Source organism: Homo sapiens, chromosome 4 (genome assembly GCF_000001405.40).
Source record: "Homo sapiens chromosome 4, GRCh38.p14 Primary Assembly".
Classification (NCBI taxonomy): Eukaryota; Metazoa; Chordata; class Mammalia; order Primates; family Hominidae; genus Homo; species Homo sapiens.
Window position 1 is genome coordinate 149,772,427 of NC_000004.12, and position 19,497 is coordinate 149,791,923.

General features: G+C 35.8%; 1 protein-coding gene and 1 pseudogene across 18 annotated transcripts in view; one reads left to right on the forward strand and one right to left on the reverse strand.

Moving 5' to 3' along the window:
* Positions 1 to 19,497, reverse strand: part of IQCM (IQ motif containing M) — a 464,135-nt gene that overhangs the window by 420,718 nt on the left and 23,920 nt on the right. The window contains exon 3 of one of the 18 annotated variants that reach the window (NM_001378187.1): positions 7,805 to 7,898. The exons of the other annotated variants lie outside the window; for them this stretch is intronic. The gene's annotated coding sequence lies outside the window, so the exon portion shown is untranslated. The remainder of the gene's footprint in view (positions 1 to 7,804; positions 7,899 to 19,497) is intronic. 18 annotated transcript variants of the gene reach the window in all.
* On the forward strand, positions 17,532 to 18,540 carry AKIRIN2P1 (akirin 2 pseudogene 1; annotated as a pseudogene).

The window sequence follows — 19,497 nt, forward strand, 5'->3', positions numbered from 1 at the left end:
AAAAATAGAAATGTGCAAAATGATGAATGGTTATGGATAATTATTATGGGTCATATATTTCCTTCAAACTGCTGTGTTTTTCAAGTTTTGTTTAATAATGTGTCACTTTATAAACAAAAAAATACATTGTCACAAGAATATAAGAAAGAGAATCAAGATGACTAAAAAAAACTACCACTTTGGAATTTGGGCAGTAGAGAAACTAATTTGTATAAGTAAATGAGGCATAAAGCAAGAAGCATCTTTGAAAATAACATGTTAACATTGGTTAGTAACAGGTCATTTTCTGTGCTGTCGTTCTTTTCAGACATTACTAATTCAAACAGTAATTCAAACAGAAAAGTGTCTAAAATTGAAGTACTTACTTAAACTAACAACTAGATATCACTTTGAGTCTAATATTGTGAACACTTTGTGGAACATGTTTATTAAACACTTTGTGTATAAACACTTTGTGGAACATGTTTATTAAAGGCTAGCAGCTAAGATTTTTTAAAAAACACTTGAAAGCCTGTTGTATAAAGAACTCTTAAAGATCCTGGGAATGCTTATCTGAGGGAAAAAATTTAAGTGGACACAGATTTTGCATCATCTAGTGAAGAAATAGCTAATGGTCAGAGCTAACCACTTAAGAATTACTATCGGCCGGGCGTGGTGGCTCACGCCTCTAATCCCAGCACTTTGGGAGGCCGAGGCGGGTGGATCACGAGGTCAGGAGATCCAGACCATCCTGGCTAACATGGTGAAACCCCATCTCTACTAATAATACAAAAACATTAGCGGGGCATGGTGACGGGCGCCTGTAGTTCCAGCTACTTGGGAGGCTGAGGCAGGAAAATGGCGTGAACCCGGGAGGCAGAGCTTGCAGTGAGCCAAGATGGTGCCACTGCACTCCAGCCTGGGCGACGGAGCAAAACTCCGTCTCAAAAAAAAAAAAAGAAAGAATTAATATCCACCAAATAGATCGAATATCACAGTGCAAAAGAGCCCACATGACAACCAGTTTGTAATCTGGTATTGTTTTTAAATACACTCTTCTTAATCTTGTTTTAGAGAAAGGAGCTAGGCATCAGATGGGTATTTAAACTAACTGTTCTGTAATGATCTCTCCAAATCCGGCATAATGTGATGTTAATATTACTGAGATTTAATCCACATTTCTCACATTTCTTTTTACATCAAACTGTAAGATAAAGCTGATGTTCCATCATTTAATAGCCAGTTAGTGATTCTTCTCAGCCACTTCACTGTTCATTAGCACTCCCACTAGAGGTGGAGGGGGCAGAGAGGAGTTCATTTAAATGAGTTGACTGCTGTGCATGTTAAAAGTTAGAATAATTATTTCATGCAAGTGTTCAATACTACTGGCCAAAGTGGTGAACTGGTATCATGCATATGCTCCCTTAACAATTTATCCTGATTACCTATTTCCCTTTGGTGTTTTTTGTTTGTTAACTAAACCTACAATTGAAGATTTAGAATATAGTTGTCATCTCAGCCCTGAAATGCCAAATCTGTAACAATATTAATATGGTAATGCTGAGCTCATCTAGCCTAACTCATAGTTCTAATTTTATATACCTTATATATTTGTGTATGTACATGGCTGATTCTTTGTGCTTCTCTATCGTGACTTTCAAGGTAAATGTCATTCATATAAGAAAATCGTCTGTTAAAATCTCTAGGCTTCATTATTTTAGATTTCTGGGTAAGCTCTAATCCAAGGTTTATTTACAGAAAATAGACTACATTGACCAGGTAAAAAAAAATTTTTTTTATTGTGGTAAAAAAACACATAACATAAAATTTACAATTTTAACCTTAAGTGTTAAAGTTCAGTAGTATTAAGTATATACACGCTGGTCCTGAAACAGATATCCAGAAGTTCTTTTTCTTGCAGAACCAAAACTAACTGTAATACATGTCACCTCCTCAATTTGCAAACCTACAGCAGCAACATGCTTGCAATAAAATAAAAACCTCTATTTCCTTTAAAAAAACAATATTCACATGTTCCTCGCGACATGGCTGCCCCCACATATCCCCACGTGTGTAGAACATCATGGTGCCCTGCATTTGCATATTAAAAGGCTAGGGTGGGAAGGCCAGCTTTTTCCGCAGGCCACGTGAATGACATGCCTGGTCAAACCAATCCCCTGAGCCCTATGCAAATCAGACATGGCCTCCTCCAGCCTCTGCATATATACCTGGCTGGAGTCTGCTGCACTTGGGGACGTCCTCTTCCAGCTTTGGAGGCCCCCTCCCTCTGTCTCTGTACGAGGGAGCTTCTTCCTTCTCTCTTCTCCCTTCCTCTTGCCTATTAAACTCCCCTCTTCTTAAAACCAAAAAAAAAAAAAAAAATCAGGAAGATGAAGTAAAATACCTCCAACTGTCTGCCTTTCCCAGGAGGAAAGTATATATAAAAGAGAAGATAGAAAAATATGTTTTAATTTGTTTTTAATTTAGCAAGTTAAGATGTTGTAATAATTAGACATTTATTTTTTTCACCAAGTAATCATTTCCACATTATTGGACAGGTTCATGAGTTTTACTGCTTCATTGTCATTTAATGATCCTGAAAATAAGCCCACATTTTTCTTGAGTTCTTTTTGCCAAAAAAAAAAAAAAAAAAAAAAATCCAAGTTACTTTAGACAATGCAGCAACTTTGCATTATTCCTCCTTTCTTATGAACATTTAAAAACTAAACTACTTTCTTTCATCCTACCCCTAAATTCAAGGTTTCTAGGAGATAGATTTCTGGATTACTCATATTCTTGAAAATGATTAAATACAAAATCTTCTCTAAAATAAGTGTCGGATTGAATGTTGTTTCTCCAAAAGCAAATGTCTCACAATATGACCCAGAATACTATTTCTCAGCCCAAGACAAAAAAAAAAGTAGTGCCTGAAGTTTTAAGATTTACAAAAGGGAATCCAGTAAATACTTAGCAAAGCATTCATTGCAGTTCACCAGAACTTTAATCTCCTGATTAAGAGACAAAAAATAAAAATAAAAACAGAGCTCTAAAACTACTAAAACCTACTAAATAATCTGAGATAAAACCATCACTTCTAAATTCCCAATCTTATAATGTTCTTTTCTATAGTTCTATTTGTCAACACAGGTCATAAACTCACTTGGTATTGCACAGGGCTTTTAATCAGGTCTTTAAGCAGCTCAGTGATTCTAAGTGCATATTTTCCAATTTATTATAGATACATCTCTTAAATTATACTTTGCTTGCCCAAACTGAAAAACATGGCATATTATACAGCTGCAAGTTCCTTCCACACAACCTATTTAAGTTCTAGTATCAGCCAAGATAATGATGTTCACTAGAAAACACTATCTATAGCAGGTTTAAATAGCTATTTTTAAAAAATATTCCTTAATCCAAGGATTAAGAGTGCCCTAAATGAAAGGTGCTGAGCTACGTGGGGTTGGTAACACAAAGGTGGAGAGCTATCCCTGTCCTCAGTCAGTTTTCAATCTACCCAGGATGACATGTATAAGAAAGATAATAACTGTATTTTAGATGACAAAATTTATCATTCACTCTAGGACACTTTTGAGACTAGGAGAGGTGCTCTTACAAATTAAGCCAGAATTTGAGAGGATCTTTTGAACACAAGAGTTTAAGGCTACAAGGAACTTTGATCATGCCACTACACTTCAGCTTGGGGACACAGCAAGGCTGTGTCTCTAAAAAATTTAATTTAATTTAAATTTAGAAAGCAAAAGAAATCAAGCAAGGATAACAGACATAAATGTCCAAGGAAAATTGGAACATATAATCACCCTAACTATGGCACACAATGCTTTGTAGTTTACTAAGTTGTTTCAAAAATCTATTTTCTTTCTGAAAACAAAGATATGAGATCAATAACACAATACTATCCCCACTTTTAGATGGGAAAACCGAGGCTCAGAGAAGCTAAAGGACTAATCTAAGGTCACATAGCTAATAAATATTAGGTTCAATGCTTGAACTTAGGTTTTCTAATTTCAAATCTAATATCTTTCCACTATAACACATTGCTGCATCAATAACTGTAACCACAAGATACACAGCTAAATTCTATAATCACAACTTGAAAGAAACATGGTTCTTCTGATTATAACATCCATATAAAGATATAGGGAGAAAACATTTACCAATTTGAAAGTATTACTATTTTGACGGTAAAATGTATTTGTGGATGAATAAGGGCAGATTAATAAAATGAAACATTTTATATGATGTAAAGATTACTTACAAAAAATAGTTAAAACAATTTTAAAATGTAAAGAGGGATGTCCTCCTCATCATTATTATTCAAATTGTCTTTTAAGTTGTAACAAATGAAGAATGGCTAAGAAGACATAAAAACATCTTTTTTGCTAATAAGATTATATACATAGAACATTCAAGAGTCTATAATAAAATAATAATAAAAAATCACTAAAAATTTTTAAAATTGATAAGATGCTAGATTTAAGATATTTTTTAAATCAGAAATTTTTCTAATTTCTGTCGATAAGGTCCTCATCCTATCAGTTCCAGGCACCTCCAGACCGCTTCTCATTCTGTATAGATCTCTGCTCCAGTTGTATAAGGTTTTTATGTTCTTGAACAGAGTATATAACATCCCACCTCTAAAGTACCTGGTTTGGAAAATTTCTCCAAATTCCAAAGCTACTATTAGAGCAATAATTTCTCTTCTACCTATGACCACTAAGATTTACTAAAATCTTTCCTTTCAGGACAAAGAGACTGTCTGAAATTCTGCACCTCATCTTTGACCACTGGCAGCAAATTTATGGCCAAATAAAAATTGCCAATTTGTCTCTGCTTCTACTCTTCAAGAATGTATAAATATTGACATTCACTCTCAGAGCATTCAATGCAGACAAGGGAAAAAATGTCCATGATAAAAAGGATGCGTATGTGTTTTTAGAACACCGTCTGGTTCATAACTGGCTTTCTAACAGCCTGGTACAGCCCATTTTATATGCCTGTTTTTCAGCTTTTATAATGGATTTCTAAAAAGATAGCAAACTCTGAGAAACAAGTTTATTTATCAATGAGATTTATATGTCACCCTTTGAAAAACTGCTGGTAACATTAAAATAATTTTCATTTCATTGTTGTGTTGAGATTTATTCCCTGACACCTTTCATCTATTTTGCCTATAACAGGCATACGTGACCAAAAGCATGGTACTCCTCAAGAATATAGAAATAAAGGAAATACCAACTTCTGCTTCTGAGAAAACGGAGTAGATGTAATTTTCCCTTTTCTTTCCCCGAAGTACAACTAAAAACTCTGGGCATTATATAAAATAAGCATTGGAAGACTCTGAAAGTAAAGAGGAGGCGGCACGCTAGCTAGGGACCTCAGCACCCAAGGACTGACGCAGTGGTGCGTTCCCTAACTTTTCTTTTCATTTCATATATCTCAGACTTGGAAGTAAAGAGGTCAGCAATCCAAGAATACCAACAGATGCAGACCAAAAACAAAACAAAAAAAAAGGCCCAAACCAAACCAAAGCCTATTCTCTCTACCTTGAAGAACAGGAAAATCTCCAAACCCATGGAAACTAAACAATGTACTTCTAGGTAATCTATGGGTCAGAAAGAAAGTCTCAAGGGAAATTTTAAAAAACACAGTTAAATTAAAATGAATTGGCCGGGCGCGGTGGCTCACGCCTGTAATCCCAGCACTTTGGGAGGCCAAGGCGGGTGGATCACGAGGTCAGGAGATCCAGACCATCCTGGCTAACACGGTGAAACCCCATCTCTACTAAAAATACAAAAAATTAGCCAGGCGTGGTCGCAGGCGCCTGTAGTCCCAGCTACTCAGGAGGCTGAGGCAGGAGAATGGCGTGAACCTGGGAGGCGGAGGTTGCAGTGAGCGGAGATGGCGCCACTGCACTCCAGCCTGGAAGACAGAGCAAGGCTCTGTCTTAAAAAAAAAAGAAAAGAAAAATTAATATACAACATATCAAAATTTGGGCAACAAAGCTAAAGCAGTAGTAAGAGGGAAATTTATAGCACTGAATGCTTACATTAGAAAAGAGGAAAAGTTTAAATTAACAATTTGAGTTTTCACCTTCAAGAACTTAGAAAAAGAGCAATAAAAATAAGAGCAAAAACCCAATTATTTGAAAAGATTAATACAATTGAGAAATCCCTAGTAAGACTGACAAAGGATAAAAAGAGAGAAGACAAAAATTACTAATATTAGAAATGAAATGGGTATCACTACAGATTTGCAGACATCAAAAAAATAAGGAAATATTAAAAACAGCTCTATATACACAAATATGAAAACAAATGAAATAGACAAATTCCTCAAAAAGTATAAATTGTCATAATTAACCCAATAAGAAACAGATATTTTTGAATAGCCTTATAATTATTAGATAAATAAAGCTGATAATTTTAACACTCTCGAAAAAGAAATTGCCAGACCTAGACGGTTTCACTGTAAATACTACCACATTATTAAAGAAGAATGAACACAAATTCTATACAATCTCTTCTAGAATACTGAACAAGAGAAATACTTCCAAGTTCATTTTACTAATCCAGTAAAACCAGACAGGGATAATACCAAACAAACAATTAAAGGACTCATATTCATCATGAATATACACAAAAATTCTTAACAAAATAGAAGGAAATAAAATTCAGCAAATATTTTAAAAATTACACACCATGATCAAGTAGAGTTTATTCCAGTGATTCAATGCTGGCTTCATATTCAAAAACCCAGCAATGTAATCCACTCTACTAACAGGTTTAAAACAATTCCTATACAAATCCTATCAAGATTTCTTATAGATACAGACAAGATTATTCTAAAATTCATATGAAAGTCAAGGAACTAGAATAGCTAAAGTATTTTGAAAAAGATGAATAAAGTGGGAAGAATTAAAGTATATCCAATTTCAAGATTTACTCTATAGCTACAGTGACTAAGGCTGTGTTGTATTGGCATAGACAAATAGGTCAATAAAACAGAGTAGAGCACCCAGAAATTGTCAAAACACCAATATGCTGGGTTTTGACAAAGAAGCAAAATTCAATGAAAGTAAGCCTTTTCAATAAATGATACTAGAACAAATGGATATCTGTAGACCAAAAAGTGAACATCAACCTAAACCTTATACAAAAAATTCAAAATGAATAATGGACTAAATATAAAATGTAAGAATAGGTTTGGAGAGTCAAAACTGAAAAATAAATCAGATAGAACCAGTATTAAATGAGCAGGCAGCTATTCATTCCCTAAGAGAAGGCAATTGGTAAAAGGTTCTGGTACAGAGTCTCCAAATATGCATTTGATTTTTGAATATCCCATAAATATGTTTTGACAACTTTATGCCAACTTTCAAACCCTGAATTGGCACTGGCTACCAGGCAACAAATCAGTTGCTGTAAGGTCACTATCCTTATACTACGCTGTTTGTGCAACTAATTAAATTTTTACTGCATTTTGCCTCATTACTTCACAAAATTGGTGAAACACTGAAAAATCCAAATCTAATGGCTGTCACTAGTGACAGGGAGTATGTCATATCAATCCAAATGGATTTGAAGGAAAGATGCAAATTACTGAATGTATCCAAAATAGCAAATTCTTAGCTTCAATGAGATATTTGTTCGATTTAAGCCATCAAGTCTATGTCAATTAGAAAAGGACACAATTAAATATTACAGCATAAACATTAGAAACATATTGTTGAAGACAGTCCCTACAAGTGAGGAGTAATTAGAAATGTTATAATTATTTTTAGTTCTATGGAAAAGGAACTCACGTTAGAACAAATAAATACTGTCCAACTTTTGCACATTTGACCCTGGAACACATAGAGGGATGATCTCTTTGTTGACACGTCTTGATGGATTAGCCTGAAAACAAAAGTTCACAGTAGGGAACAAAATGATTCTTCAATAATTCTCTGCATGAAGATTTCAAAACCCAGGTAAAAAATACACTGGCCAAAAGTGACTACCAACCAAGACAGAGAGTCTCATCATCCAAGACATCATCAGAAACCCAACATGAACAATGAGGAAATCCTTAGCCTTAATGAAGTAACTTTAAAATATGTAAGTTATATATATATATATAAAACATATTTTTTTCCACAGAAGAAAACCCTTAAATAGAGCTACCCTGAAACTTACTGGTAAAAGTAAACAAGAAAGGCTTATTGTACTGAAAAGAGATATATGAGAAAGAAAAACCGTTCCTAAATTTCATTTCTTCAGGGCAGGGGTGGAAATGAATTTAAAATACCTTGACAAAGGGAGTAGGGAGCAGGTCTAGAGGTGAAAAATACTCCAAAGAAACATCACCACAACCAGTAAATGGTTGCACATGGGGCTAGATTAAAAAGACAAGTCAAAGAACTAAAAGCCTAAGATAGTGAAGAGACAGATGAATTAAAATGGAATGTATTAAATGCACTGTTCACTTCCCATGTGCCAGGTATCATGCGAAGATGAGTGGTTTAGACATGTTGAGTTTAAGGAAATAATAGGCATTCAAATGGTGAATTTAAGTAATGATGAGAGAAGTCCAGGAAAGACATAAGCCTCTAAGAGTTATTTATATAGATATAATCATTAAATACATAAAAGAAGTAGAAAGTGAGAGAGAGAGAAAGGATTGAGAACCTGGATTTTAGAAAACATTCCTATTTCAAGAAAAGAAGAAGCAGAAAGCTAAGGATGATGAAGTTGTAGCTTCAATCTTCACTGCAGGCCCCTGAACTATTGTATACAGTAATTGTCCTTATCCATTGTTTTGCTTTCTGTGGTTTCAGTTACCCATGGTCAACCATGGTCCAAAAATATTAAACAGATAATTCCAGAAATAAATAATTTAGAAGTTTTAAATTGCATGCTGTTTTGAGTAGCATGATGAAATCTCATGCCGTCCCACTCCATCCCACCCAGGATGTGACTCATCCATTTGTCCAGCATATATATGCTACGTTTATGCTACCCACCCTTAGTCATTTAATAGCCATCTCATTTATCAAATCAACTGTCAAGGTATCACAACGCTTGTGTTCAAGTAACCTTTATTTTACTTAATAATGGCCCCAAAGTGCAAGAGTAGTGATGCTGGTATATTGTTATAGTTGTTCTGTCTTATTATTAGTTATTGTTAATCTTTTTCTGTGCCTAACATATGAATTAAACTTAATCATAGGTACATATAGGAAAAAACATGGTATATATAGGATTCAGTACTCTCTGCAGTTTCAGACATCTGCTGGGGGTCTTGGAATGCATCCCCCTCAAAGGGAGACTAGTGAACTGCCAAAACATTATGAATTGACAAAACTGTAAGAATATTCTATGCTTGATACATTGGAAAAGAAGCAGACTAAGGGAATAAGTAGGCAGCCTAGGAAAAGGTCATGAAAAACCTCCAAGAATTTGAGATCTTGGCAAAAGCATAAAAACCTGCTAGGGGAAACACACTGAGTAGGAGAAACAATATGATGTTTAAAGGTATCCATCCACAAAAAGATAATGTATTCTGACTGCGTAAGACAATATTTTTTTTTTAATCTCAGAAAAGAGAGAAGAGACCGTGTCTCAAATAAGACAATAAACAGCCCTAACACTTATTTGCTCAAGCAACAATAATAATAATAACAATACTTAGCCTTCAAACTGTAGTCCAGAGGGGCAAATAAGTTATAAATTCAGTGGAAAATGATTCAAGAAAAATTTACCCATTCTGCCCATGTTATGCATAAGCAAGATAATAAATATACATCCTACTCTTACTACTACTATTTATATACACATACATGCAAACTGGAAACAATCATTGCACAGATGAAGAACTCAGTTATGAGGAAAAAAAGGAAAGAAAAATATAAGGCAAATAAAAAAGATTTTTCCCAAAATATTTTTCACACTAAATATGTAATAAAACAAGAACTCAAAAATAAGATGGTAAGAAAATATAACAACCAATCTGGGAAACAAAGTGAGACTCTCTCTCTCTACAATTTTTTTTTACTTGCCAGATGTGGTGGCACACAGCTATAGTCCCAGCTATTTGAGAGGCTGAGGTGGGACGATTGCTTGAGCCCAGGCTGCAATGAGCTATGATCATGCCACTGCACTCCAGTCTGGGTGTCAGAGCAAGAGTCTGTCTCAAAGAAAGAAAAAAAAAGTGGGGGTGGGTGTGGGGGGAAATACAATAAGATTCAAAAGAAAAAGGAAGAATCCAGAACTTAAAAAAAAAAAAACACCACTATCAACCACTGTGAATCTAACATTATTAGGTAACTGATACCTTTAAAAAAGCAAGGAATAGAATAGACTTAGCTAGAAGTCTAATTAGTGATACAGAAGGAAGACAGATTTTATGATAATCATGTGAAACATTTTTCTCACTTGGCTCCTAGGATTCTACTCTCTCATGGTTCTCTTTCACCTTCCACCCTCACTGGACACTCCTTCTCAGTCTTCCTTGCTGTTTCCTCTTCATCTCTCCACCTCTAAACATTAGAGTGTTTCATATATCAGACTTCAGATGGCTTTGATTCTCTATTCCTACTTCTTTGGTGATCTCATCCAGTCTCACTGTTTTAAATTCCATCTTGTCTGATGGTTCTTAAATGTATATCTATAGTACAGAACTCTCCCCTGTACTCCACATTCATCTATCTAACTACTTTCTCCACATCTCCACTTGGCTATCTAACCAGCATTTCCTAACTTAACAAGTCTAAAACTGAATTCTTTTTTCCAGCCATCCCACAATAAAACCTATTCTTCATTCAAGTCTTCATCTCAGTAAATGTCAATTCATTTCTTCAATTTTCTTAGGCTAAAAACTTGCACATAATTCTTGAATCTTCTATGTTGCTTGTATATCTCATGTAATTCTTTAGTATTAACAAACGCTCTCAAAATTATATCTAGAATCTGACCACTTCTTATTACCTTCTCCATTACCACCCTATTTCAAACAACCTGATTATTACATTAGCCTCCTAGCTGGGCCACCTGCTTCCGTCTTGACCTCCCTACAGGATATTCTTCATATAGCAACAAGAATAATCATTTAATATCAAAATTCAGATCAAGTCACTGCCAGCACAAAACCCTCTGTAGTGGAAAGACTCTAGGGTGATCCTTGCCCTTTGATATTCATGTCATTATGTAATCTCCTCCCTTTGAGTAGGTAGGAGCTATGACTTGCTTATAACCAATAGAAGATGGCAAGACTAGTATAATGTTATCTCTATAATTACATTATATAAGACTATCTCATCAGACTAGAGAGAGAGGCTCTCATTGTGGGCTTGATGCAGTTAGTGACCATGTAAAGAAGTCCACGTGACAAAGAGCTTCAACAGCATCTAGATACTGCAGGTGGCCTCTAGGACCTGAGGCAGCCTCCAGTTGACAGTCAGCAAACAGTTAGGACCCTCAATCATATAACTGCAAGGAAATAAATTCTTCCAGCAATATGAATGAGCATGGAAGTGGATTCATCCTCAGTCAAGCCTCCAGTTGAGAATGCAGGCTGGCTAGTTCATTGAATGAAGCCTTTTAAGACTTCAAAGCACAAAACAGACTCAAGCCATGCCCAGCGTCCTTACCCATAGAAACTATGAGATAATGTATGTGTTGTTTTAAGCTACTTAATTTGTGATAATGTATTACACAGCAATAGAAAACTAATATTTCCTCCAATGGCTTTCCGTCTTACTCAGAGTAAAATCTCAAGTTATTTCCACAATTTGGCCTATATCCAACTCTGACTCATCTTCCATTGTCTATATTTCTCACTTTGCTCTAGCTACAATGGCCTTTATGTTGCTCCTCAAATATGAAAAACTTGCCACTGGCTCAGGGATTTCAAACATTCTGCCTGAATATGCTGTTCCCCCAGATATCCTCCTTAGCTCACAACCCTCACCTTCTTTAGATCCTTAGTCAAAGATCATTTTGTTGCAGACACCTTCTCTGAAAAAAGTAAATCTTTTTCTTGCTCTTTCGCCCAGGCTGGAGTGCAGTGGCGCCATCTAGGCTCACTGCAAGCTCCGCCTCCCGGGTTCACGCCATTCTCCTGCCTCAGCCTCCCGAGTAGCTGGGACTACAGGTGCCCGCCACTGCGCCTGGCTAATTTTTTGTATTTTTAGTAGAGAGGGGTTTCACCGTGTTAGCCAGGATGGTCTGCATCTCCTGACCTCGTGATCCACCCGCCTCGGCCTCCCAAAATGCTGGGATTACAGTTGTGAGCCACCGCGCCCGGCCTGAAAAAAAGTAAATCTTATCCCCAACCAATATGCATTGCGAATGTCTGAATGCTGTATTGTCTCATTAGCACTCACATATCACTGCCTAATATGCATTTATTCATTTATTTATTGTATTTCTCTCTGTACCAGAATGTAAACCGTAAGGAGGTACAGACTTTGTTAACTGTTGTAAACTTATATATGGAAATCATTTGTTAAATAAACAAATGAATAAATGAATAGATAAGTTAATGAACAAATTAACAATCAAAATGAATACACTATGACACTGAAGAAATTAGAGGGAAGTTAACAGATACGAAGAGTAAAGAAAACAATTTAATATAGAGATATGTTTTATGTAACAGATGGAACAGAAAATGCATCCATGGCTATAATAGATGCTAACTTCCTGATTCCTTACGATCTAGGCAGGAAAAATAATAACTTTTCCACTCATGAGAAATAGGATGCCTTCATACCTGTTCATAGCAACTGCCAGAAGACAATGGAGCAATGAGTAAAATATTCTAAGAGAGAGTGTGACCTTAGAATTTTATACTCATCAAACTTTTCCTTTGAGACTGAGGCAGCTGACTTTATTAGGCACACAAAGTTATAAGAAATATAATTTTTACCCTAGCTTTATGAAAAGTAAAATCCTATGCTAATCAAGAAATGTATAAAATAAGGAACTCAAATAGAAATGTAATTCATGAATAACGGTTGGTAGGCATTCCATCAATTTAAATAATTTATTTAAATAACTATAGTAATTTGTGGGAAAATATAATTTGAATGTTTCAAACTTTGACAAAGAAAAATAATATAACCAACAAAACTGAAGGATGGTACACAAATGGCTGAAAGAAGTATTTCCTTACAATTAACATCAGGGAGAAAATTTATATTATCTCAACTTTAAGCATGAAATTGTTAAAAAATGACCCAAAAAACTTAATTAAACCTTCATAATAATTTTTCTAACCTTAGATCTTTTAGGCTTTTTTGTACACATTTTTTCTGTGGATGGTCAGATTGTAAATAGTTTAGGCTTTGCAGACCACATACAATCTCTGTTGCTTATTATTCTTTGTTTCTTTTACAACCCTTTAAAAATGTAAAAAAAAAAAAAAATCTTAGCCCTCAAGCTGCACAAAAACAGGCCATGAGCTGAATTTGGCCTGCTTGATGTAGTTTGTTGAGTCCTGGCTTACAATGATGTAACACTGAGCCAAAATTCCATTGTTTCTTCAGTTTCACTCTAGAATCTTTTGATTCTGTTAAATTTAAGTAAAACTAATTGTGGTATTTTGTATTTCTAAATTATATTATAATGTGTAGAACTTCCATTTCTGGCCAAGATGAAATAAGGGCTAAATTTTCCTTCCATCTGGAACAACTAAATAAATGAACCAAATATAAGAAACATTTCTGGACTTTGGAAATCACACAATGAAGGGTCAGTGATTCCTGAGACATATGACTCACACAAAATTAGCCTTACAATTGCCCCCAGCTTACTGCCTGGAGGGAATTTCTGGCAATGAAGGAAGCCAGGTGGAGCCAGGCAAGCTCCTTGAGTTGAAGGAGACCTGGTAATCTGGAGAGATCAGGAAGCAGAATATCAGAGTGGAGAGATTTTACGGAGAAAGAGGTCCAGAGATGTAAAAATGTACTCTAGAATCTTCAGCTAAATAATGATACATATAAGGAAGGAAACTACCCAAGACCAAGAACAGAACCACCCCAAAGTAGAAGAGGAAATTTAAACAAATTCACAAGAAAAAGAACAAACAAAAACCATCAAAAAGTGGGCAAAGGACATCAACAGACACTTCTCAAAAGAAGACATTTATACAGCCAACAAACATATGAAAAAAGCCCAACATCACTGATCATCAGAGAAATGCAAATTAAAACCACAGTGAAATACCATCTCACACCAGTCAGAATGGTGATTATTAAAAACTCAGGAAACAATAGATGCTGGCGAGGCTTTGGAGAAATAAGAATGCTTTTACACTGTTGGTGGGAATGTAAATTAGTTCACCCATTGGAAGACAGTATGGTGATTCCTCCAGGGTCTAGAACCAGAAATACCATTTGACCCAGCAATCCCATTACTGGGTATATACCCAAAAGAATATAAATCATTCTACTATAAAGACACATGCACACATATGTTTATCACAGCACTACTTACAACAGCAAAGACATGGAACCAACCCAAATGCCCATCAATGGTAGACTGGATAAAGAAAATGTAGTACATATACACCATGGAATACTAGGCAGCCATAAAAAGGAATGATATCATGTCCTTTGCAGGGACATGGATGAAGCTGGAAGCCATCATCCTCAGCAAACTAACACAGGAACGGAAAACCAAACACCGCATATTCTCACTCAAAAGTGGGAGTTGAACATTGAGAACATATGGACACAGAGAGAGGAACACATACTAGGGCCTGTTGGGGGATGGGGGTGGGAACTTAGAGGACAGGTCAATAGGTGCAGCAAACCACCACAGCATATGTATACCTATGTAACAAACCTGCACATTCTGCACATGTATCCTGGGTTTGTTTTTTTTTTTAGAAGAAATACAGGAATAAATAAAATAAAATAAAATACATCATTTTTCATAGAAATGGAAAAAATCCTAAAACTTATATAGAAACAAAAAATATCCTAAATATCCAAGCTGGAGGCATCACACTACCTGACTTCAAAATACATTACCAAGCTACAGTAACCAAAAGAGCATTGTATGTGTATAAAAGCAGACACATAGACCAATGGAACAGGATAGAGAACCTGAAAATAAATCCATGTATTTCCAGCTAACTGATTTTTTTTACAAAGATGCCAAGAACATCCATTGGGGAAAGAACATCCTCCTCAATAAATGATGCTATGAAAATTGGATATCCATATGCAGAAGAATGAATCTGGACTCTATTTCTCACCATATACAAAAATCAACCGAAGCTAGATTAAAGACTTAAACATAAGACCTGAAACTATAAAACTAGAAAAAAACAGGGAAAACACCTCAAAACATTGGTGTAGACAATGATTTTATGGCTAAGACCTCAAAAACACAGGCAACAAAATAAAAAGTAGACAAATGGGACTATATTAAAGTAAAAAGCTTCTGCACAGCAAAGGAAGCAATCAACAAAGAGACAACTAGCTGAATGGAAGAAAATATTTGCACACTATTTGTCTGACAAAATAATATTCAGAATATATAAGAAGCTCAAACACCTCACAGGAAAAAAACAAATAATCTCATTAAAAAGTTGGCAAAGGACGTGAATAGACATTTTTCAAAAGAACACATACAGGCCAGGCGCAGTGGGGCTCATGCCTGTAATTCCAACACTTTGGGAGGCCAAGGCGGGCAGATCACCTGAGGTCAGGAGTTCGAGACCAGCCTGGCCAACATGGTGAAACTCTGTCTCTACTAAAAATACAAAAATTAGCTGGGCATGGTGGCACAAGTCTGTAATCCCAGCTACTTGGAAGGCTAAGGCAGGAGGATCGCTTGAACCCAGGAGGCAGAGGTTGCAGTGAGCTGAGATTGCACCACTGGACTCCAGCCTGGGCGACAGAGCAAGACTCCATCTCAAAAAACAAAAAACAAAAACAACAAAAACATACAAATGACCAGAAGGTATGTGAGAAAATGCTCAAAATTATTAATCATCAGGGAAACATTAATCAAAACCACAACTGAATATCGTCTTACCCTAGTTAGAACGGCTACTGCATAAAAAGACACAAAATAACAGATGCTGGTGAGGGTGTGGAGAAAATGGAACTTTTATACACTGTTGGTGGGAATGTAAATGAGTACAGCCACTACGGAAAACAGTATGGAGATTGCTCAAAAAATTAAAAATAGAACTATCATACAATCCAGAAGTCCCATTACTCAATATTTATCCAAAGGAAATGAAGTAAGTATATCAAAGAAATACATGCATCCCCATGTTTATTGCAGCACTATTCACAATAACTAAGACAAAGAATCAACCTAAGTGTCCATCAGTGGATGAATGGATAAATAAAATGTGGTATATATACACAGCAGAATACTATTCACCTTAGAAAATAATAAAAGCCTGTCATTTGTAGCAACATAGATGGAACTGGAGGTCATTATGTTAAGTGAAATAAGTCAGGCACAGAAAGGCAAGTATCACATGTTCTCACTCCTATGTGGGAGCTAAATAAGTAAGTCTCATGGAGGTAGAGAGTAGAATGATGGATGGCAGAGGCTGGGAAGAATGTGCAGGTGGTAGAGGAGATGAAGAGAGGCTGGTTAATGGGTACAAACATGCAGCTAGATAGAAAGGGTAAGGTTTATTGTTCAACAGCAAAGTAGGGTGACTATAGTTAACAACAATGTATGGTATATTTCAAAATGGCTAGAAGAGAGGGCTTAAAATGTTCCCAACACATGGAAATGATACATACTCAGAGTGATGGATACCCTAAATACTCTGACTTGACCATTAGGTATTCTATGCACGCAACAAAATATCACATGGACCCCATAAATATTTAAAATATTATATATCAAAAGGACAGTGAAATAGCACAGTTCAGTAATTATAAATTCTATTCTGAGATAACCCAAGGATCAGGCCACACAGCAAGAAAAAACATACTGCCATTTGTACCCCCAATTCCTTCCAGTATCAATTTAATAAAGTATAGTGACTTGAGGTAAGTAATGCAGTCATTCCATTTTAATGGTCTTTAGCTTTTAAATTTATCATCTCAATATTAACATCCAGACAAATATTATGAATACATACACCTTAAGAGCCAGGTGCAGTGGCTCATGTCTGTCATCCAAGCACTTTGGAAGGCCAAGGTGGGTGTATCACTTGAGCTCAAGAGTTCAAGACCAGCTGAGCATGGTGTTGCACACCTGTGGTCCCAGATACTCAGGAGGCTAAGGAGTTGGGAGGATTGTTGAGCCCAGAAGGCAGAGGTTGCAATAAGCTGAGATCTCATCCCTACTAATAATACAAAAAAATTGCTGAGCATGGTGTTACACGCCTGTGGTCCCAGATACTCAGGAGGCTAAGGAGTTGGGAGGATTGTTGAGCCCAGGAGGCAGAGGTTGCAATGAGCTGAGATCACTCCACTGCACTCCAGCCTGGGTGACAGAGTGAGACCCTGTTTCAGGCAAAGGCAAAGGCAAAAAGGCAAAGACTTTTGCCTTTGCCAAAGCAAAAAGAAAAAGAAAAGAAAGGCAGAAGAGAAGATACTCAGAAACGAGTTTCCAAGACACAGATCTGTGTTGTACTTCTGATGCACATGCATTTCTCCTCAGTGGATCAGCTTCACCAGGAACTTCATCTGCAGCATCCTCACCATTAAAAAAAGAACAGCCCTTATTTACTCTATGGCAGGTTGGAATGATCTGTGAACATTAGTTGAAAGAACATGAAGAGAAAGTTTGGGAAGAACATGAAGAATATTGAACACAAAACTTGCAGAACAATAATGATGCATCTGTGAAATTTACACATGATCAAATAATGTGATGATATGGAGAAGAGCCTGCTAGTTATGTTTCATGAATCATGTATTCTGCATTTGCGAGCTGCCTTCTTCCTTGTTGAGTTGTTGCAAGAGGTCCCACTTATGACATGGAGCAATGCCAATACCCCTTCTGTGAATACAAGTTATTTCAAGCTTTCTTCAGTGGTAACCACTCTTAGGCAACAGCAACGGGTTTTGGAAATTTCCCTGATGTCAGTACCACCTGGATGTGGATGTTTGCTACCTGTATTAATACCAGTGGCCTCATTTTGTAAGTTATCATTACAATTTGGCTTCTTACATTAATGTTTTAAAACGATTAAAGCTGGTATTCTAGAACATGCCCTTCACTGGTTGTATAAAAAAACTGTAGAGTGACACTCAAATGAAGTTACTGTGATTTTAATTGTGCAATACAACCAAGCTGTAACCAGGTACTAATTTTAGAATATAATCCCAGGACAATATTAAGAAAATAGCCTGCAGTGCCTCCTGTGAAATAGCGACAGAGGAGGGCATTTTTGTATTCCAGGACTTCTTGGGGTTTCAGAATGGGTTTATATGATTTTTTTTTTGGTACTTTTATTTATTCTATCAGTCTTTTTAACAAATGTTTACTGCTGCATTTTTTTCCAGTGTATCATTGTTTTACTGCCCTTGTAGTACTGGAATTAGTTGGAAGAATAAAACATTTACTTCTAAAATAAAATAAAGAACTCTAAGAAAGAAAAGAACTCTCTTATACTCATATGTTGAGAAGCACTTACCTCATTTTAGAGCAAAGTTTATAGATAATCAGACCTTCAGTAATTAAAAAGTAAAGCAATATAAAGTGCAAGTAATTTTATTCAGGAGCCAAAAATTCCAATAAAAGGATTAATAGTGACATGTATGCTTCATATTTCATTAACATAAATCATTTTGGTAGATAACACATGTTTATTTGCCAAATTTTATTACTGTCTTTTATTGATTTTTATCTTTTTTATTGACTCTCATTATTTTTAACTAGAAACTTAAAAAATTATTATAGATGCATAATAGTTGTACACTTTGGGGGGGTACATGTAATATTTTGATATAAGCATATGTTGTGCAATGATCAAATCCAAGTAATTAGGAGAGCTATCTCCTCAAGGATTTGTCATTTCTTTTTGTTAGAAACATTTCAGTTCCACTCTTTTCATTATTTTGAAATATGCAAAAAAATGGTTAACTGTAGTTGCCCTATTGTGCTACCAAACATTAGATCATACTCCTTCCATCTAGCTGTATTTCTGTTCCCACTAACCATTCCCTCTTTATCTGCCTCCCCCTCCACTACCTTTTCCCAGCCTCCGGTAACTATCATTCTACTCTTACCTAGAAATTGTTTTTTAGTGTGCATTCTGCATGTATGCTATTGGATGGCTGAGAATTCTAAAAGGTTTATTGTGCATAAGTAACATAACCATACTTCATATAATGTCCTTATTTTATACCACAGGGATGTTTAGATGAAGAGCGTCTAATAGGATAAGCATCAAAGCTTCAGAATCCCGTATGATCAATTGCAAACAGTCATTATTGCAAACAGTACATATTTAAGCTATCACATTGGAATGCTAAATCTTAAACTCAACACAGAGATTAAATACCAGTAGAAAAAATAAATACTG